Genomic DNA, 22469 nt, shown 5'->3' on the forward strand with positions numbered 1-22469 from the left:
GGGGTACCAGGTGTATTATGAAAACCCAGCAGGGCCAAAAGTAGTATCGACTCAAAGCTCAGCCAAGGGTTACCAGCCATACCACCCACCCTTCTTGCTCCACCTCCCTCCAACCTTCTTTGTATCTCTCTGATGGATTTCTAATCCATGCCTCAAAATGCCCTCTACTTTCTGGGATAGGGCAGCAGGTGGGAAACTGAGGTAGTGGACATCTTTGGTGATTCTAGAGGCAGAAATGAGGAGGGGATTCATGTAGGTAACCAGGCTGGACTAAGCTCCAAAGATGCACACCCCACGAAGGTCCCTTTGTGAGTGCCAGGCACTGGTCTGTAACACAGCTCAAAAGATTTCACAGGAACTCTCATTGTTCACATAATACCACCTCTGCACCCAATAAGAATTCAAAATCACAGCCAAATTTACTTCCAGCCACAAGACAACCTCTATCTGAGTTTATCCAGATCCTCTTGAAGTCTCAACTGCCTCTCTGTGTGCTTCTAGAAATAAGGTCAGACTAGGAATGGAATACAGACTAAAACAACTTGATGAGCATGCCCTGCCACTGTCCTAGGCTAAGGATGGCAAACACTATTAGAGTTTGCCTAATTCATTGTCTCATCATCTGTGATAATAGAGATGGGGCAGTTATGCCTAGGCCCCACTCTGCAAATAGAGACTTGGGTCTGGAGAGTGTAAAATTATATAGCAATATCAGAGCACATCAAGTGGATGGGAGTAAAGCTTCTTTCTCCTCCAGGTTACTCCCCTACCCCACTCTGTTTTGTTCCAGGGCAGTAACTAGCCCCACTTGCTTCACTATGCCAGATAGAAACATCTACCATAAACGAGCCAAGAAAAGGGAAAATATGTTAGCATGAGCCTACATATCATCAGACACATCTGATTAGAAGAGAATCCCCATTCCATCCAGACAGTACTTCTGAGTCAATGAGGTAGCGTAACATGTTAACCAAAGGAATCAATAATGCCAATGTCATGGGCCCTATTCCTTTATGGGTCATGTATCTTTTACTTGTTACCATGATCTCACTCGAAACACCACAATATAGGGAAACATCATAAACTATCCCTTATTATTTAGGATAATCAATCGTATTTTATTTTTTGGAGGTGGGGTCACACTATGTTGCCCAATCATGGTACACTGCAGCCTGGAATTCCTGGGCTCTAGGGATTCCTCTTACCTAAGCCTCCTGAGTAGCTGGGACTACAGGTGCAAGACACCGCATCCAGCAATAGTATTAAAAAATTTTCTCTTTCTTTGCCACTTGACTGTCGGGGGGTACTATACAAGTGTCCATAAATCAGGCAGTTGAATTCCCCATATTCAGGGAAATCATAGGAACCAGCAGGAATTGATGATTTCCCCAACTTGATCATTTCCTGGTCCAAAGGGTCTCCCATGACAACTATGAACTAGACTTTCACACTGCATACCCTCTTCCCCCACTAATCACTACTTTTTCAAATTCCCCCACTCCCCAGATATCTCCACTTGTGCCACAAGATATCTCTGAGCATGTATGCCACACCATCCCTGATGCAAACCGCTTCTGGTTTTTTTTCCACAAAGGAGGTTCTCTGCCATTTTCCACCATGCTTCCTGCACCTTACCTCTGTCTCTCCCTGACCTGAGATCATCACAAGTGATTTGGGGTCATCAAAATAGTCCTTTCCTACTCTGAGCCCAGACTCCATCAGAGTGTACCTACAACCCAGTCCGTCACCAAGTATGGAATTACAGGCTGGCATGGAAAGGGACACTGCATTAGGAGGCTAATAAGACTAGATACATCCCTGAAAGTTATTGCCCTGTGCTCCTTCACAAACCACAGTACTAACAGAAGAATCAGAAACTCTCTTAGTAGGACTGCCATTGACTCTCAGTATGATAGACATAGGTAAGCCACTGAATACATCAGTCTCGGGTTTTCCATCAGTTTCTCCACAATCTTTCCTGACTGCCTCACAGTGTAGCTGCAAGAGAGTAATGAAATAAAGGATGAGGAAGCACATTGTAAATAGTAACACTGTATGCAAATGAAGCAAAGCTTCATTTTCCTCACTCTGCAGCAACACTTCTGAGAAGAGAGCCAGAGCTAGCATAAAAGATTAGCTATTTGGCCAGGAGTGGTGGCTCACGCCTGTAATCCCAGCACTTTGGGAGGCTGAGGCAGGCAGATTGTTTGAAGGAGTTGGAGACCAGTTTGGGCAACATGGTGAAATACAAAAATACAAAAATACAAAAAATCAGCCAAGCATGGTAGCGTGTGCCTGTAGTCCCAGCTACTTGGGAGGCTGAGGTGGGAGGGTTGCTTGAGCCTGGGAGGCACAGGATGCAGTGAGCCGAGCTGGCACCACTGTACTCCAGCCTGAGCAACAGAGTGAGACCCTGTCTCAAAAACAAACAAACAAAAACATGGCTACTAGATTGTCATAGTATCATTTAAAGACCACCCACTTGAATGTCATTTTAGATATGGGGATGCCTAGACCCAGGTAGGGCAAGTGATATACCTAGGATTCCAGAACTAGAGAGTGGCAGAAAAAGGATTAGAACCCAAGTTTTTAATCTGCCAACCCAATTATCTTTCTATTACCTTCCACCCATCCCAACCAGTGTGTACAGACTAAGAAGGCTGTTTTCAAGGAGAAAGCTGTATTGTTCTGAATCATAAAAGGAAATAAAATCAAGGTTGAAAAATGAAGAGGGAATTAATGAAATATGCCAAAACAGTGTCTTGTCAAGAAAAACACAATACAGGCAATCATTGTGCTTAAAAAAATACTATGGTCCCTTTATATACCGTTGAAGCCAACCCAGTTATAACTGACTTTTACTGTTAAGAACTAGGCTATTTGGGAGGAATGGGAGAAATAATTTTATCCCTTGCATATCTAAATGCATGTCATAATGAGCCTTCATATAATAGGGGTCAACTGTACATTCAGTGGAAAGGGAATCATTAAAAGGCACCCTGCCTCTCAACACACGAAGCACTTCCTCTACAGCTTGGCCAAGGAAACCCTCATCTACCCTCTCAAATAATCCCCCAGCCAGACCACAAATTGCTGGCTGCCCCATACTTAGTAACACCCCCTGCCATGCTCTCACTGGCTCACAAAATAATCCGGGACCACAGCAGCAAGCACTCTCTGGGGTGCTTCTCAAGATGGGTCAGCTCTGGGCAGAGCTGAAAAATGACCTCTCCAAGGCAGGTTGTCTAGGCAGACTGTGGAAATTCTGTGGGCGGTGTGAGGAGAAAAAGAAAGGGAGGAACTGCCAGATCATGGAGGGCTGCATATCCCATTGTGACCTTGGTGGAAAGAGTGGGGAGAGGAGGAGCTTGATTAGAAGAAATTCCTGAAGGCCAGGATTCCCCTCACCAAAGGAGTTGAGTGTTTTTGTTAAAAAAAAAAAAAAAAAAAAAAAGCATATAACTTTCTCCAGAGAACACTGGAGGGAGACTGCCTCAGGAGGGGTTGTGACAGTGGATGACAAACGCATCTCAGGCTGGTTAAAGTACATGACAAGTATGGGGGAAAGGGTGCTGGATGAAGATCTGGGCTAGTTTGGGGAGGCTAATGATCAGAGGGGTCCCTGCCAGCCCCTCAAAATGTTGCCTCAGCATACCTCAGACTCCTCAATCTGATTGGTACACCCATGGCAACACTCCAGGGTTGCTAAGAGTGTGGGCCCCAAGGCCTGAAGGATCCCATACACTGGAAGTCAACCACAGGCTCCAATGCAAGGCGAATGCCGCACAGGTTATTGTGGGTGTGTGTTGCGGTGGACGTTTGCTGAACCCTCTGCTGAGATGTGACCAATGTTGAACCCCACCCCCCCGCAAAAAAAAAGTGATATTTGCTCCCTGCTGAAAAGACACATCTTTCTATCTCCAGCCTGAACCCACATCTACAACTTCAACTGCCATTTAAGCGGGTTGGAAGCGGGAGGGCTTTTCGGATTTGAGGATTTAAGAGAAACAACAAAAAAGTGGAATAAAGTTCGTAAAGTCCGTTCACTTGGCAATCTGGCACCTCAAGGTGAGTCGTCCCACAAGTCACTCTTCCTGGTAACAGCTCCAGCTGCCCCTACCCCTCGCCCTCACCCCTACGGGGGAGGCTCGCTTTGGGGGTTCTGGAGCACTCAGGAGAGCTCCTCTCTCCTGTCCTCAGCTGCAACTTGGCTTCCAGCAGATCACAGACTCCTAAAACAAACAAACCCTGGCGGCGGCGGCGGCGGCGGCAGTGGCGGCGGCGGCGGCGGCGGCGGCGGCAGCGGCAGCAGCAACAGCAGTAGCTCCAGCACAGCTGCGCTCCATGGCGCAAGTTTCCTCCACACTTCTCAACGTGCAGGAAATCTCGCCGGCGCTGGGGCAGGACTCTGGAGGGAGGGAGAGGCCGAGCCGAACCGGCGGCAACAACGCCCCAAGAGCTGAATGGATGTGTGCGCGTCCGGCCGTGGGAAGTGTGGCTGGCAAAAGCCACCAATGGCCTCATCTCCGTTCCCACACCAGCCCCTAGCCCTGCAACCTGCCTGGGAGGGACGGCCCGCCGGTCGATAGAGGGGACAACGCTGCCAAGAGAGCTGCCAAGCCGCGATGACTGTCCCTTCAGTCCTTCACTGTCCCGCAGGGACGCAGAGGCCTCCAAGGAGAAATCCCCAACAGCCTCCACTTCCTTCGGCCCAAACTGAGGGAAGTAGCCGCCCCGACGTGGGGCAGCAAGGGCTGCCCCAGCGCCCTCGCGAGTGTGTCTGCGCGCAAGGTTCTAGCCGGGGGCCAGTTGTGCTCCCAGCTCGTGTTCCAGCCACCCTTAGGGGATGTCTGCACCTGGACTGGTGGCAAGACCCCTCCGTGCCGCTCAGAGGGTCTTTCGCTCCCAGCCCTAAGTTTCAAAGTTGGCCTGAGGGCCCCGTCCAGCGGCAGCCTTCGCACCCGCTTGTCCATTCAAAGTTAGGCGCCGTTAGGACATCAGCCGCCAGTTCTTACCTTAGACACTGTGAGCGGCTCACAGTGTTCCAGACCCCCCTTAAGGGTGAAGCCCCAGGGTGCCCCCCCTTGCAGCTGCACAGGGACGTACTGGAAGGACCCAGGCCGGTTCTCCATCCTCGGCTGGGCTCAGGCGCCGCCGGGCTCCTTTTCCGAGGGGGCTACGTTGCCTCCGCCCCCAGCAGCTCCGCCACCATCGCCCTCCAGCTCTACGCCACCCCGCACCGCCCTGCTCCGCCTACTCTCCCGGCTGGAGACGCTCAGGCAGCGAGCGAGCGCAAGGAGGAAATGACACGGAGCTGGAGAAAGGGGGAGAGAGGGGGGAAAAGGAGAAGGGAAAAAAAGAAAAGAAAAGAAAGAAGGAGAGGCGGAGGGATAGCGCGTAATGGACAAGAAAACGGAGCAATGGGGAGGGGCAGTCACTGGGACCTCGCCTATAGGATCGCTGGGGAGTGGGAGCGAGGCGAGGCCTCACATCAATTGTTACATTGTTTCATTCAAGCAGGGCCCCTCTTTGGTCCTCCTCTTTACTGCCGGGTTCCCCGCCCCTCCAGCCAGCCCAGGCGAGGGGAGGTGAAAGTCGTTAGTGTGGACGGCCCGCGTGGCTGAGTGGGCTGAAACGCTGGTTTCCTGATTAGCGCGTTCATGTTTCTCTGACTGCCTTTTTCTTCTGAAGGTCCCGAGAACGGAGACCTGGGAGGGTTAAAAGGCTGCTAATTTGTGGACCTTGCCTAGAGGGGTGGAAAGCAAAGCCAGCAGGCCAGCGGACATAGTGAGGCTGTGTGTGTAGACTGCTCTGTGTGTACGCGCTAGGTGTGTGGGGTCATTATGAAACATTGCCCCAGAGCATAGTTTAAATAAAGAAGCACTTTGAGGATGCCCCCTGCTCGGGCTCCCCCGCACCCTGGCTCAGTGTTGGTGTCTATGGCTAGCACTGTGCTTGTGTATGTTCCAGTCATCTGGAGTTCCTGGCACGGCCTTGCACTTGCCCCACCGAGATGAGCAAGCCAGCAATCAGCAAACTTTATGACTAGCAGTATTGTCTCTAAACAAACCTACAGGAAAGAGCATCCATTGATAAGCTGGCCAATTAATAATGTTGTGCCTTTGGGAAGAATCAGCTTTTAGACTGGGTCCAGAACATCTCTGCACATCTGTTCAAGCTTGACCTTGTAGTTTCTGAGCTGGGCTTTTGTAATAGACCAAACAGCCACAATAATAGTCCTGAAAAGCGAATTTGTTACTGAATCTTGTGCTGATTTCTCTGCCTTCACTTGGACAGGTTATCTTCTCTCTTTGAGGTGTTTTCTCTGGAGCCACATGCGGGCAGTGAATTTTTAAAGGGCCTCGCACTAGCGGAGAAAGTGTTGACAACTCAGTTGTGACTCAACAGGATGTTCCCACTCTGTCTCGCCTGTTCAGTTTCTTCCCCTGTTCTTGTGCAGCTTCTTCTTCATGGCCAACAAACACACTGCGGCCCCTTCCTTCACAGCCAGCTTTCTGCGGTCAAGGTTTCCACTCTCTACTTCTACTTCCTCACCTGTCACTGCCTCTTCAACGCACAGCAGCCTGCGGTGTGCTGCAGCAGGCCACTGAAATGTCTCTCAAAGTCACCCCCCTCCATCAATCCTTTTTTCTTAGCACCCCCCTGGACTGTCTGCATATATGATGCTGCCCTGACTTTTCTTTAATAAAATGGCAATTTAGGTGTTTATAGCCTGCCTTTTTAAAGTCCTTAGAGATGATGCACATGGGAAACCATCCTCGATCTTTTAGGCCTACAAACACCGTCTTGATCATGTTTATTGTTTTATATTTTCCTTATTTGAAAGCAGAAAATTTGATAAAATGGCAACTCAACTTGTTGATTCTTACTTGTGTTAACCTATGTTATAACATTCATTTGCCCTGCCCCACCTTGAAACTCAGCATTTTTTTTCTTTTTCGGATAATATTTCTATGATTGTAACTTGGTAGAATCCAGCGTGTTTCAGTCCCAGCATATCTGTAAAGTTCAGTTCACAGGATATATAGTCATCACTCAAGGACTATTAGAATTATGTGTCTAGACTAGAGGAAAGACGTTTGGAAGCAGTAGACACACATCTGAGCCCTGGCCTTGTCACTAACTAGATGGGTGACCTTGGGCAAATCACTGAGCTAACTCTTTTCAGTCTCCTGTTCTTCCTCTGTAAACTTTAGCTAATAAGCCCTGACTTTCCTACCTCCCAGGACTGTTGAGAGACTAAGATGAAATAATACATATGAAAACACTTTGGTAAGGAAAAAGTAAAAATCCTCTCACAACCTTATTATGAAAGCAAGCACTGAGCTAGTCTTTAACTAACCTATTTTCATTCCAAGCCTTACTCTACAATGATGTCTTGTTGCACTCTTCAGTTTATCCTTTTCATCATTACAGCAGAACATAAATTACCTAGCCCCTTGTACAAACAGTGCATAAGTAGTAGATATTCTGAACATAAGGTGGCTAGATTATCTTGCTTCTTTATTGATAAAAATCAGTGCTGCTAGCAGGCATCTCATTCTTCTTTGGAAGTATACAGTTAGTGGTAGCATGACTGCATAGTGGAAAGGGTACAGGGTAGAACTTGAGATGCCTAGATTCTAAGCTAGTTCTGCCATTAATTCACTGTGGATATTAAGCATGTCACCCCCACTCTCTGTAAGTTGAAGGGGTTGAGCGACTTGATTTCTTAAGTTCCTCTACAGTTTACAAATTCTGTGACTACTTCCTGGCAAGTGCCTGAACGTAGTATATGTGCAAACAAAATCTTGATAGAGTTGAACCAAGTAAAAAGAAAGCAATGGAGAACATTCGAGGGGTATATTACTCTGTGTGTGTGTGTGTGTGTGTGTGTGTGTGTGTGTGTAAAGTGCATGCACACGCTGGAGCTATCAGACAGATGATAAATTCATTCTAAAGTATGTTAAATTGCCTGTGGGGAAAAGGTGGAAAGTCCACTAGGCAGGTAGAAATAGGAAACTGCATATCAAGGAAGGGGTGGTGATTGATAATACACACTTGGATGATAACTGAAGCCATTATTTGCAGTATATAATCTCACTCAGAGAAATTAGAATCTCACCCAGAAAGTAGAATCCTGGATTATGCTAATATTTAAAATATGCTAATATTCAAAAGTCAGGAAGGATAACAAAAGACCCACAAGGGAGTAGACACAGGAGGTGGGCAAAAGGCCAACCAGGGAGAGATAAATTAAAACCAGGCTAGGTACTTCCACCTCATTAAACATTCCTCTCAGGAGTCTTGTATTCATTCAAAAGCTATTGAGAAGTTTACATTTTTGGAAGAAGGAAGACTGAAATAGCAGTCCTTCTCTGAGCTTTTTTTTTTTAAAACTTCCTTAGCTGAACCTTTTTTCTAAACTCAAATTTGAATACAATTTTCCTCATCGCAGTGCCTGTAGCTTTTTTGTTTTTGTTATCATTTTTAAAAATTTTATTTTTCCCTCCCCTGTGGGATCTAATCTAACTCCTTTTTGAATGAGGAACCTCTTGAGATTCTAGAGAAACCTATGCACTCTCTCCCCCTGAAAGCTACACATGTTCACACAATGCTATATATAGTTTGGGCTGAGATTATAGACCCTAGCTTCAGAATCCTTGCTCTAGGCTGGGTGTGGTGACTCACGCCTGTAATCCCAGCACTTTGGGAGGCCTAGGCGGGTGGATGAGGTCAGGAGTTGGAGACCAGCTGGCCAACATGGCGAAAATCCTTCTCCACTGAAAAAAAAACACAAAAATTAGCCGGGCGTGGTGGCACGCGCCTGTACTTCCAGCTACTTGGGGAGGCTGAGGCAGGAGAATCACTTGAACCCGGGAGGTGGAGGTTGCAGTGAGCTGAGATTGCGCCACTGCACTCCAGCCTGGGCAACAGAGTGATACTCTATCTCAAAAACAAAAACAAAAATATCCTTGCTCTAGAAAAAGACAAGATTTGTTCTTTTTGTGTGTGTGGTAAAAGCAAAAAAACAAACAAAAAAAAACACAAACAAAACAAAAAAACCACACGTATCATGAAGTCTACCCTCGTAACAAATTTTTAATTGTACAGAACAGTATTTATAATTTTATGTACATTGTTGTACACCAGATCTCTAGAACTTCTTCATATTGCACGATTGAATCTACCTAAATTGAACAAGAACTCTCGCCTCACACCCAGCCTGTTGGTGACCACCACTCTACTTTCTGCTTCTATGAGTTTGACTACTTTAGATACCTCATATAAGTGAAATCATGTAGCATTTGTCTTCCTGTGACTGCATTATTTCACTTAGCATAATGTCCTCCAGGTTTATGCATGTTATTTCATATGACAGGATTTCCTTCTTTTTTTAAAGGCTGAATAAGATTCAATTTCATATAAAAAATACACATTTTTTCTTTATTCATTCATCTGTCAATGAGCATTTCTTCCAGCTTTATTGAGGTATATTTGAAAAATAAAATTGTATATTTTTAAGATGTACAATATAATGATTTATATTGGCATACATTGTAAAACGATTACCACAATCAGCTAATTAACACATCTATCACGTCACAGCTGCCATTTTTTGCATGTGTGTGGTAAGAAGACATAAGATCTACTGTCTTAGCAGATTTCAAATATAAAACACAGCATTATTAACTATAGTCACTATGCTGCATGTTAGATCCCCAGAACTTATTGATTTTATAAGTGAAGATTTGTACCATTTGACCAACATCTTTCCATTTCCCACACCCCCAGCCATATAAGTGAGATCATGCAGTAATGCAGTATTTGTCTTTCTGTTTTTGGCTTATCTCATTTAGCATAATGTCCTCCCAGTTCATCCATTTTGTCAAAAATGTCAGGATTTCCTTCTTCTTTAAATGAAGGGGTACACACATATATATAGAGTTATGCATCACTTCATGACTGGGATATGTGCTGAGAAATGCATTGTTAGGCAATTTCATTATCGTGTGAGCATCACAGAGTGTACTTACACAAACCTATATGGTATAGTCTACTACACACCTAGGCTATATAGTATAGCCTATTGCTTCTAGGCTGTAAACCTGTACAACATGTTGCTATACTGAATACTGTAGGCAATTGTAACACAATGGCAAGTATTTGTGTATCTAAACATATCTAAACCTAGAAAATGTACAGTAAAAATATAGTATAAAAGATAAAAATGGCACATCTGTAAAGGGCATTTATGAAGGGAGCTTGGAGAACTGAAAGTTGCTCTGGGTGAGTCAGTGAGTGAGTGGTGAGTGAATGTGAAGGCCTAGGACATTCCTGTACACTACTGTGGATTCTATAAATAATGTACACTTGAGCTACACTAAATTTATTTAACATTTTTTCTTTCTTCAATAATAAATTAACCTTAACGTATTGTAACTTTTTTACTTTTAAACTTTTAGATTTTTTTTTATTTTGTAATAACACCTAGCTTAAAACACAAACACATTGTATAGCTATACAAAAATATTTTCTTTATATCCTTATTCCATAAACATTTTTCTATTTTTATTTTTTTACATTTTAAACCTTCTGGTTAAAAACTAACACACAAGCACACAATTTAGCCTAGACCTACACAGGATTAGAATCATCAAGATGTCACTAGGTGATAGGACTTTTTCAGCTCCATTATAATCTTATGAGACTACCATTGTATATTCAGTCAGCTGTTGATCAAAATATTATCACGTGTCACATAACTGTGTATGCGTGTGTATGCGTGTGTGTATACAAAACATTTTAAATCTATTCTTCCATCAACAGATTCTTAGATCATTTCCATATTTTGACTACTGTGATAATGCTGCAATGAACATGGCAGTGCAGATATCTTTTCAAAATACTGATTTCAATTCCTTTAAATATATACCAAGCAATGGGATTACTGGATCATATGGTAGTTCTATTTTTATTTTTTGAGGAACCTCCATACTGTTTTCCATAATGGCTACAGTAATTTACATTCCTGCCAACAGTGTACAGTGTATGAGGGTTTCTTTCTTTACATTTTTGCCAACACTTGTTATCTCTATAGAGTTATCACTACGGAAAACCACCCAACTGCAAAAATAAACAATAAAAGAGGAAGAAAAAAAGAATATACAAAACAACCAGAAAATAAACAATACAATGACAGGAGTAATCTTCCCCTATCAATAATAACCTCGAATGTAATATGTTTTGAAGTCAGTAAGTGTGAGGCCTCCAGTTTTGTTTTTCTTTCTGAAGATTGTTTTGGATATTTGGCTTCCTTTGTGGTTCTATATGGATTTTAGGAGTTTTTCTTTTTTCTTTCTTTCTTTCTTTTTTTTTTTTTTAAGATGGAGTCTCGCTCTGTTGCCCAGCCTGGAGTGCGGTGGTGCGATCTAGGCACTGCAACCTCCACCTCCCAGGCTCAAGTGATTCTCCTGCCTCAGCCTCCCAAGTAGCTGGGACTACAGGCGCCCGCCACCATGGTCAGCTAATTTTTGTATTTTTAATAGAGATGGGTTTTCACCATATTGGCCAGGCTGGTCTCGAACTCCTGACCTTGTGATCTGCCCCCCCCGCCCCCCGCCCCCGCCAACTTGGCCTCCCAAAGTGCTGGGATTATAGGCGTGAGCCACCGCGCCTGGCCAATTTTAGGGATTTTTCTACTCATGAAAAAAAATGCCTTTGGAGTTTTGATAGAGATTGCACTGAATCTGTAGATCACTTTGGGTATGGACTAAAAGAACATTTGTTAACAATCAACAAAGTGAAGAAACAACCCACAGAATAAAAGAAAATATTTGTGAACTACCCATCTGACAAGGGATTAATAACCAGAATATATAAGGAACTCAAACAACTCAATAGTTAAACACACACACACACACACACACACACACACACACACACACACGAATACTCCAACTAAAAAACAGGCTAAAGGTCTGAATAGACTTTTCTCAAAAGACATACAAATGGCCAACAGGTTTATGAAAAAAATGCTCAATATCACTAATTATCAGAGAAATGCAAATCAAGATCACAATTAGATATCACATCACCCTACCCCAGCTAAAATCACTTTTATCAAAAAGAGATAATAATGGATGGGGAGAAAGGAGAACCTTCATATACTGTTGGTTGGAATACAATTTAATACAGCCAGTATGGAAAACAGCATGGAGGTTCTTCAAAAAACTAAAAATGGAAGCACCATATGACCCAGCAATCCCACTACGGTTATTTATCTGATAGAAAGGAAACCGATATATCAAAGAGATATCTGCACTACCATGTTTATTTCAGCACTATTCACAGTAGGCAAAATATGAAATCAACCTAAGTGTCCATCAATGCATGAATGGATAAAGGAAATGTGGTATATATACACAATGGAGTATTAGTCAGTCATAATAAAAGAATGAGGTTGGATGTGGTGGCTCATGTCTGTAATCCCAGCACTTTAGGAGGCCAAGGTGGAAAGATTGCTTAAGCCCAGGAGTTCAAGACCAGCCCGGGCAACATAGGGAGTTCCTATCTCTACCAAAAATAAAATAAAAAAAATAGCTGAGCATGATGATGCACACCTGTAGTCCCAGGTACTTAGGGGTGGTGAGGTGGGAGGATTGTTTGAGCCCAGGAGGTCAGGAGGTCAGGAAATCAAGGCTGCAGTGAGCCATGATCCTGCCACTATGCTCCAGCCTCCATGACAGAGTGCAAAACCTTTCTCCAAAAATAAAAAAAAATAAAATAATGAAATCCTTTCATTTGCAGCCACATGGATGGAACTGGAGGTCATTATGTTAAGTGAACTAAGCCAAGTACAGACAGACAAACATCACATGTTATCACTCTTACGGGAGCTAAAAAAAAGTGTATCTCGGCCGGGTGTGGTGGCTCACACCTGTAATCCCAGCACTTTGGGAGGACAAGGTGGGTGGATCATGAGGTCAGGAGATTGAGACCATCCTGGCCAACATAGTGAAACCCCGTCTCTACTAAAAATACAAAAAAAAAAAAAAAAATTAGCTGGGTGTGGTTGCGCATGCCTGTAATCCAGCTACTCGGGAGGCTGAGGCAGGAGAATCACTTAAACCTGGGGGGCGAAGACTGCAGTGAGCCTAGATCGAGCTACTGCACTCCAGCCTGGCGACAGAGCGAGACTCTGTCTCAAAAAAAAAAAAAAAAAAAGAAGAAAAAAAAGTGTATCTCATGAAGATAGAGAGTAGATTTGTGATCACCAGAGGCTGGGAAGGGTAGAGGGAAGGGGGAAATGAAGAGAGGTTTATTAATGAGTAAGAATATATAACGTGATAAAAGAAATAAGACCCAGTGTTTGATGGATCAGTAGAGTGACTATAGTTTAAAATAGTCTATTATATATTTCAAAATAGCTAGAAGAGAATACTTCAAATGTTTCTTGATTAAAGAGAGGCAAATTAAGGTGATGGATATCCCAATTACATGGATTTGATTTCTACAAATTATATGAATGTATTAAATTATCACATGTACCCCGAAAATAACATACATCTATTATATATTGATAAAAATGAAATTATTTTAAAAGGTTCTCTTAAAGAGCTTACATATTTACTGAACCAATCTTTCTTTCCTTTTTCTTTCTTACTTCCTTCCTTTTTTATTTCTTCCTTCCTTCCTTCTTTCTTTCTCTCTCTATTCCTTCCTTCCTTTCTCTTTTCTTTTCCTTTCTTTTATTTTCTTTTTTCTTTTCTTTTGAGACAGGATCTCACTCTGTCACCCAGACTGGAGTGCAGTTGTGTGATCACGGCTCACTGCAGCCTCTAATTCCTGGGCTCAAGTGATCCTCCCTTCAGCCTCCTGAGTAGCTGAGACTACACACATGCACTACAATGCACAGATAAATTTTGTACTTTTTGTAGATATGGGGTCTTTTATATTGCCCAGACTGAAAGAATGTTTCAATAGAAAAAAATATTCACTGCCAGGTGCGGTAGCTCACGCCTGTAATCCCAGCACTTTGGGAGGCAGAGGCGGGTGGATCACCTGAGGTCAGGAGTTCGAGACCAGCCTGGCCAACATGGTGAAACCCCGTCTCTACTAAAAATACAAAAATTAGCCAGACGTGGTGGTGGGTGCCTGTAATTCCAGCTACTTGGGAGGCTGAGGTAGGAGAATCACTTGAACCCGGGAGGTGGAGTTTGCAGTGAGTGGAGATTGTGCCATTGCACTCCAGTCTGGGCGACAAGAGTGAAACTCCGTCTCAAAACAAAAAACAAACAAACAAAAGAAACAAAACAAGGAAAAGGTATTCACTCAGTAAGTTAAATTTGCCCTAGACTGAAAGAATGCTTGCTAAGCACTAGGTACTGTGCAAGGCATGTTCCATATATTATTGGCAAGTATTATAATAGGCCTACAAAGTAGGCATTATTAAGTCTGTTTTCCAAGTGAGGAAACTGCTCCATGAAGTGGTAGAACCGAGATTGTAAGGCAGGGAGGTTGCAGAAGCATCCTGTGATAACTTTATTTATCATGTCTCTATCATAGTCCCCTCTTTTGCAGAGAAGGAAGGGAGTTGGAGTCCTCCGTTTTGCTCTCCTCATGTTTCCACATGGGAGGACTTCTGTTAGAATAACACTCCTGGCCTGTCTCCCCCTCTTCATGTGATGGGTGAGTTGGCAAGTCTGTATCGCTAAGTGTAGGGAGTATTAGGAAGCCTATTATGGCAGACTTTCTATTCCCTATCTTCCAATACAGACTTTAACAGTGATAAACTGATAGTTTTAATCTCTGTTTATTTCCTTCCTGTGTCTATCAGTTGGTTCTGAACTTGGGAATGAATGAGAGGTGTGCTACTATTCACTACTGTTCCAAAATGTATTTATTCAACCTATTTTCTAATCAGCCTGTGTCCTTCTGTCCACTTATCTATTCCATATTGTCTCCTGAGTGTCTGTGTGAGCCTGTCTGTGAATGTACCTCTGATTGCCTAGATACCTATAACAGGAAGTGTGTGTGGGTATTAGGCCAAAGCTCCATGTGGTCCTAAGGAAAATGATCTGCATGTGCATGGGTGAAAGAAGGAGAGAGAATGAAGGTGTGTTCCTTGAATTTGGCTCTGAGGGCTACCTTCACATAACTATCATAATGCTTTTTGTCCTTTACTAGAAGCAGGCTCTACCAGAAAAGAATGCTTAAGCCCATTTCTTTGCCGATTGTTTCATTCTGGGGCCACAGACCTTCCTCTTCTCATCTCTGTGCTAGCAGTGTCAGAAGAGGGAGAGCAGTCACTATTTCAGAAGCCTTTTCTGTGCTGGCTCAAAGATTGAAGATTGTTTACAGACTAAGGAAATTCTCATTTTTCATAGGCAGATTATAATACTAAAGAAATCTAACCTGTGTTTTGTGATTGTTATCTAGCATTCTGTGGCCCGTACTTCTAACATACTTGATAAATGATGTCAAGTCATCTTCTTAATTTCATCACACCCTTGGGAAAAATAAGGTAAGAGTCAGAATTATAGTCACCCTTTTACAGATGAAACCAAAGGTAAAATAGTTTCATTGCTTAACTAATCATTCTTCCTACACTTCCTTGGAATTTCAGGTGTTGGTGGGCCGACTATTCCTGGGCCAGTTGCCTAACAGGCAAAAGGGGAACCAGACCATGTTTTAATGAAACAGATTTTGTCAGAAGTAATATCAAAAGGTGTTCATTTTTAGTCTCATCAGTTGAATCTCTTGGAGTATTCCACGTGGGTTTCTAGGGCCTCTGTTTCTCTCCTTCCCCATTTACCCTACGCTGCCCAAACAATTACCCTGACACTTCTGGATGTTTCTCACAGGGGAGAGAATCTGGGTCAATAATCATAGGCAGTGGAGAGGGGAAAAAAGTTGAATGTTCTAGGTATTATTCATATGCAGATTACATGAAAATAGTAGCAAGTTTCTCCTTCCCATTTATCTATACATCTAAGGGTGTGCAGGTATGTAAGGGACGGGCAGGTGCAGCAAAGGAGAATTCTAAGTAGACCGTCCTACTAAAGAGTGTGTCTGATTCCTGGGAAATTTTGCCTAGGGCTAGGGAAAGATTTATAGTCAAGGTCTGTTTATTTTGAGTTAAAGTTAGTATAACATTAGTATAAAATGTTATAGCTGACATTATTTAAGGTAAATAAATTCTTATAAGTACATACTTCTGGAGAAATATGGAGTTTATGTTGCTCCTTGGGTAACTTTATAAAAAAATCTTTCTGTTGTTGAAGTGTCTCTTCTGGGTCATCTGGTTCTTTTATCCATTCAGAAAAAAATGCCAGTTTTCTTATGGAATCTCAGGATCTTGGCTTCGTATTAGATTTGAGACTAGATTCAAAGCCTCTTCATCCTTCTTGAGTTAATAAATCTAGACAGCATTCGTGTGTGTGTGTGTGTGTGTGTGTGTGTGTGTGTGTGTGTAAAAGGCTGCTATCTGTGGTGGTTGGTGCTCTCAGAGAAGGCTTGTTGAAGCAGGAGTTGGTTTGTTTGTGTCCTAAGCTCACAGTAGTGTCAGCTCAATTGGAAACTCTCCATTTGCCCTTGGGGAAGTCACTCACTTGGTACAAGTTTAGCTGGGCTGTGATGCATGTTTGCCATTGCTCTAGAGAAGTTTCAGCCAGCAATTGACTCCTTCCTCATAGCAAGGATGTAAAAATCAGATGAACTGCTCAGATCCAATATGTGGGCTGAAAGATGGCCTCTTCTGGGTACCCAGTTCAGACAGGGGCTACCCCTTGCTTTGAGCTGTGTGTTAGCCAATTTATTCTATTTCCCAAATACTGTTTTCTGTGAGCCATTACTACTTGATAATTCATAAAGTAAATTTTCAGCACATGTTAAGCTCTGACCTCAATTCATCCAACCATGGAAAGAAAAAAAGTCACACATGCATATACGCACAAACCCCAGCTTTAACTTTTTCCCCTTCCAAAGTTGTTCATCATTTTGCCCTCCTATAGTGACAGAGAAAGTACACCAATTCATTGGGCATTTGAGCAAGATAAAGCCCTCACTACAGTTTTGGTGAAGCTCTTGAGAAATACACAGATGGCAGTCAAAAGAACTATTTGTGGTGTCAGGGATACACACACAAACATATGCACATATTCAACAAGTCATGGGAGGTGAGACATGGGTGATGTGCAGTTGAGGCAGACAGATAGAAAATGGGATGGGAAGCTTGAGAGTTTGGTTTGTTTTACTCCCTTGCCCCGTATTTTCCAGATATACATTAGATAGATATATAGATAGATAGATTCTTCTTTCCTTTTTGATAATTTATTTTTACTCTTGACTTAGTAGAAATGACCCCATCTGTGATATATTAGCTAAAGAGAAAATCATTTTGCTTTGGTTCAGATCCAGAATGACCTAGCCCAAAGAGGAAAGAATGACCAGCTGCCTTTGTCCAGGAGTGTCAGAGGGGCTTCTGAAAAGAATTGCTTTCTCCAAATATTTTCTTTGGGGGAAGTAGTCCCAGGCATGTGTACATGTGCCTGGATGTGTGCACATACACCCTTCTACCCATACGGACACATGAACAAACTCATACATAAGACTTTATGTTCAAATTGGGGAAACCTGCTTTTTTCTGAGAGTCTGGCAGCTCAACTTACTAGAGAAAGAGGTTCCTAAATTCTGAAACAATTGTCAAGAGTCTCTTTGGAAACACTTCCTTGACGTTCTAATATATAGGGCATTTTCAGTGTTTTTTTTTTTCTGTCATTGGTTTAGAGTAAACTTCAGAAACCTGGAAATGATACTTAACTCTTTCTTTTCTCTCCTCCTATCACCTATGTCCACTCAATCATCAAGCCCTGTCATTTCTGGTCCTAAATTAGTTCTTACATCAGTCCACTTCTCTCCATGCCCACTGCCACTCCATCGCCATCTCACACCTAGACCATTGCAATACCTTCCTAACAAGGTTCTCTGATGCCTGCAGTTCTGCCCAGATGCATCTAATCCATTCTCCACGTTGCAGTACAGTTGACCTTTAAACAACATGTGTTTGAACTACGTGGGTCTACTCATACATGGATTGTTCTCAACCAAAGGTGGATTGAAAATACAGTATTCACTGGATGCAAAATCCACATATACAGGGGCCCAATTTTTCTTATCTATGGGTTCCACAGGGCTGACTGTAGGACCTGAGTATGCACGGATTTTGGTATGGGAGGGTGTCTTGGAACCAATCCCCTACGTATACTGAGGGACAACTGTACTTTGCAGCCAGGGTGCTCTTTCTGAAGCACAAGCTATGTCACTCCCCTGTCCAATTTTCTTCAATGGTTCCTCATTGCTTACTGAATAAATTCTGAGTTCCTTGATTAAGACTCTTAATACATGGATCCTGCCTACATAATACCCAGCACTCTACCCCCATGCCCCCTCAACTCTGTTCCCTTTCCCCCCCAACACATGGCTCTCTGAAAGTACCAAATTATGCATGGTTTCAAGTACAACCTGTTCTCTTGTAACTCTCAGCCTTTTTATAAGCTATTATTTCTTTCTGGAATACCCTCCACTTCATCCTTGTCCATCTGGTAAACCTCTACTCCTTCTTCAAGTCAGTACAGAATTCACACTTATAGAAAGAAACCTTCCTTTGCACCCTTAATCAACCTTAGACTGTTCTCCCTTGATATTCTTACTACCTCCTTTGTATCTCTCTATTATGGTGCTGCTTATATTTTATTGTACTTGTTTCTTTCCCTGTGCTGGATATTCTGTGAGGGCAGGAACCATGTCTGGATCCTCAATATGTTCCTCAGTACAGGACCTGGACATAGTCGATGTTCAATCATCGCTAAATACATGACGTGGGCCTGGAATACCAAAGGCATTTTTGGTTATATAAGAATAACTTTCTGGCTATTGTGTTGATAGATCTTTTAATCATGGAGTGGAATATGAGGCTTGCCCCACGTAGAGTGGCCAGCAAATGGGACACCTCAGAGAGGCTCCTCTAGTGACTTAGAACCCAAAAAAGAACCCTGGGACTAACCCAGCTCCAGGCCTAGGAAACGTTCTACTTTGATGCTGTTTACTGTTACATGCTACTGGAGAACTAATACAAAAATGTAACAATTTGGCTGGATTATAGACAAGGACTATAAGGAATGTTAATTGTCATCTTCTTAACATGTATTCCAGGTGCTCCACAAACTGACCCCTGCCTGGGTTTCCAGCTTTGTCATTCCCTCCTCTGACTCACACTTTACCCTCTGGCCACACCAAACTGCTTACAGCACCTGCTATGTCATGATGTGTCATACCTCTATGTTTTTATCCATGCTGTCTTTCTGCCCAGAGTAGCTTTTCCTTTGCTTAGGTAATTCCTACTAACAATTTAAGACTTAGCTCGGGCCTCACTTCTTCCAGGAAGCCATTTCTAACTAATCAACATGCACACACACACACACACACTGAGTCTAGATAGATGTCTCTATGAATCAGGACTCTTTTGCTTGTAAGTCACAGAAATACAATGCAAATATGCTTAAGCCAAAAGAAGGGGGTTATTGATACTAAGAAAAATTCAGGCATAATTTTAGGCAGTTCTAGATCCAGGTGCTCAAATGGTGTCTCAGCAATCTCCTTCTATCTCTTGGCTCTGATTTCTCCTATATTAACTAAACTCTCAAGCAAATTTTCCCACATGATGGCCAAGATAGCCATCAAGAACTATAGATTTGCATCTTACCATTTAGCAACCCCAGTGGAAACACAGATCCATTTTCTTAAAAGTCCCAGCGAAAGTTCCAGAATTGAGTACATGTCTGAACCAACCACAATGACCAAAGAAACAGAATCTAGGTGGGATGAGACCTGATACCAAAAGCAGATATGTTGGGCAGCAAAAGCACTATATGCTTATACTCAGTTTTCCTCTTCTATGCTCCCATATTCCTCTCCCCCACCAGTAACTCTGATTACACTGTATCATTTTGTGTGTGTGTGTGTGTGTGTGTGTGTGTGTGTGTGTGTACCTGTCTCCTCCACTAGAGTGTGAGTTCCTATGTTTATTTGCCTCTGTATTGCTAGAGGTCAGTATGGGGGCTTGGCTTCTAGTAGGTGCTCTCAATCAATGAAGGATGAATGAATGGCTCTGCCGTGCATTTTTAACAGATGATTAAATTACAGAGAGCGATACTGAAAGCCAAATCCAGGCAAACAGTTTAATTTGATACTTAGACAAATTAATAACATGACTCTAATTTATTTGGTTATATGCATAATTATTACTGGGTTGCATGGTAAAGAGGCATAAATAGTAAACGGTTCATTTGACGTTCTAAATGTAATAAATGTCTTCTATGGGTCGGGGCTGTACTAGACACTAAGATTAGCCTTTGCCTGTTCATTAACCCCTTAACATTAATGGAAGTCAGTATAGTATAGTGGTTGTGGCTCTAGGGTCCTGGATTGAACTAACATCTGCATTTACTATAATAGTTCAGTGACCTTCGGCTGGTTACTTAACCACTGTGCCTAGTTTCCTCTTCTGCCAAATGGGAATAGTACCAACCATATAGGGTTGTTGTGAGGATTAAATGCAGAAATTGATATGAAGCATTGAGAATCATGCCTGGAATATTTTTAAGTGCTTAATAAGTGTTAACTCTTATGGTTAGGTATTAACAGCAGCTCCTCCCTACTTAAATATCACTTTACCTATTACACTTGACCTGAGGCAAAGCCCTGGGTTAGAGATTTAAAATTGAGCTTAAATATACCTTCTGGGCTTCAATAAAAGAAAATTCAACAGAATGGTAGCTCATCTCTGGCCTGGCGGATTCTATTTTATTATGGAACTTACGATCTTGGATCTCTCAGTGTGAAAAGATTATTTCGCAGTCAGCCAGTTTCCAAGCCTCATGAATCCAGAGAAGGAAGAAGTGGTCTTTCCCCTCGGGGAAGAGTTGGTGATCCACAAAAGCTAGGAAAAGACTTTCTTAAATTCTAACATTACCACTTCATATGGCTTACTATGAGAACTGGAGTACAAACAAATAGCTTGTGTGGCTGACCAGGTTTTGCTAACAACGTATATTGGTTCTAAGTGGAGCCTTTGATGTAATGATGAGAGGATAACATTTGGAGGTCAGCGGACATATGCTGGAATCCAAGCTCTCCTCTTTACTGACTATGGCATCTTAGGTAATAATAATGATTACAGCTTAGTGTGAGTGCTTACTGTGTGCTTGTCACTGTTTAAAGCACTTTTCATGTATTACTTCCTTTAGTTCTTGCAAACAATCTTATAAGGTAAGCTTTTATATTAATCTTCCTTTACCAGTGGAAGAGGTTGAAGGGCAGAGAAATTAAGTAACTTGCCTAAAGTCACATAACTAGTAACATGGGAAGCCAGGTTTCCAACGAGCTTTTGCTACCAATTTACGCCTAGTGTTCCATTATTGGAACGCTAAGCATGTGGGAGTTATTTATATCCTACTGCTCAACGTCATCGCAAAGGTCTGATTGCAAAAATTAAAAAAATTGCAACCTCAGGCATAAATGGGTTAACCACCTCTTCATGTTGTCTGCCAGCTCAACCTCTCTGAGCCTCAGCTTCTTCATCTATAAAATCGACTTAATTGTACCAATCTCAGTGTTGCTATGAGAATTCAAGATAAGCTCGGGGAAGCATTTAGCACAATATTGGACACATGGAAAGTGCTCTTTGAATAAGCATTGCTATTATTCTGTTTCTCCATTGTCCCTAGAAGCAGGGGCCTGGACTTCCCTTCCTTATTGCCAATGCTACTTCTTGATTCTAATTAGTCTGAGTACAAATTATTTTCTGTATGACGGAGATACTACTAGGTTAATTACAAAACGGAGAAAACTTTGTTGCCAAAGATAGTTATTAGTCCATCCTCAAACCGTTATTTTGCCTTCTGTTTCTTGGTTACAGCACTCACCAGGTCCCCCAACACTGGCTGATGTCCGTTCCCACTGTCAACCTAAGCTTTCCCAACTGGGGCTCCTGCCAGGCTGGGTGTACTTCCACCTGCCATCTCATTATGGAACAGTAGATCTGAAAAGTAATGAAATGTTAGACTGCTGGGAGACCCCATGGACACAAATTTATCTCAAATGGATTTAAAATTGTAGCCAGTTATTTCATTCCTTAATTGTAATATTTTCTTTATTGATGCCTTCCTGCTATTTTGAGTATATACCTCATCATAGAAGCAATAAAGATTAAACTCAACTAAAAACATGGAAAGAAAAATGGCTACTAAAAAATCCATTTGCCATGATGAGCCTGCCCTCTTACAACTACAATGCAAATAGGTCCGATCCTTTGGGAAACTGGCTTGGTAATTTGCTTCACGAACCATAATTATGTTCCTGCCCTTTAATACTACAATTCCTCTCTGGGGATTCTGTCCTAAGGACAG

The 22469-nt window shown here is 42.6% G+C and overlaps 1 protein-coding gene across 14 annotated transcripts in view, besides 1 other annotated feature; it reads right to left on the reverse strand.

Annotated features, from left to right (window-relative positions):
- SHROOM4 (shroom family member 4) overlaps positions 1-5308 on the reverse strand; it is a 238661-nt gene extending 233353 nt beyond the window's left edge. For all 14 annotated transcript variants that reach the window (XR_007068197.1, XR_007068196.1, XR_001755718.3 and 11 more), the window contains exon 1: positions 5016-5308. Coding sequence is in view for 7 of the 14 variants with exons in the window: in XM_047442279.1 (XP_047298235.1) it covers positions 5016-5132 (117 nt within the window). In the remaining 7 variants the exon portion in view is untranslated. The remainder of the gene's footprint in view (positions 1-5015) is intronic.
- Positions 4355-4856: an enhancer, noted in NCBI's record as "H3K4me1 hESC enhancer chrX:50556241-50556742 (GRCh37/hg19 assembly coordinates)". NCBI's record gives its function as "activates a minimal SCP1, AML or CMV promoter by ChIP-STARR-seq in naive H9 embryonic stem cells {active_cell/tissue: H9 hESC(naive)}" and the evidence as "EXISTENCE:reporter gene assay evidence [ECO:0000049][PMID:30033119]".

The sequence above is a fragment of the Homo sapiens genome, chromosome X (assembly GCF_000001405.40).
Source record: "Homo sapiens chromosome X, GRCh38.p14 Primary Assembly".
Taxonomy (NCBI): domain Eukaryota; kingdom Metazoa; phylum Chordata; class Mammalia; order Primates; family Hominidae; genus Homo; species Homo sapiens.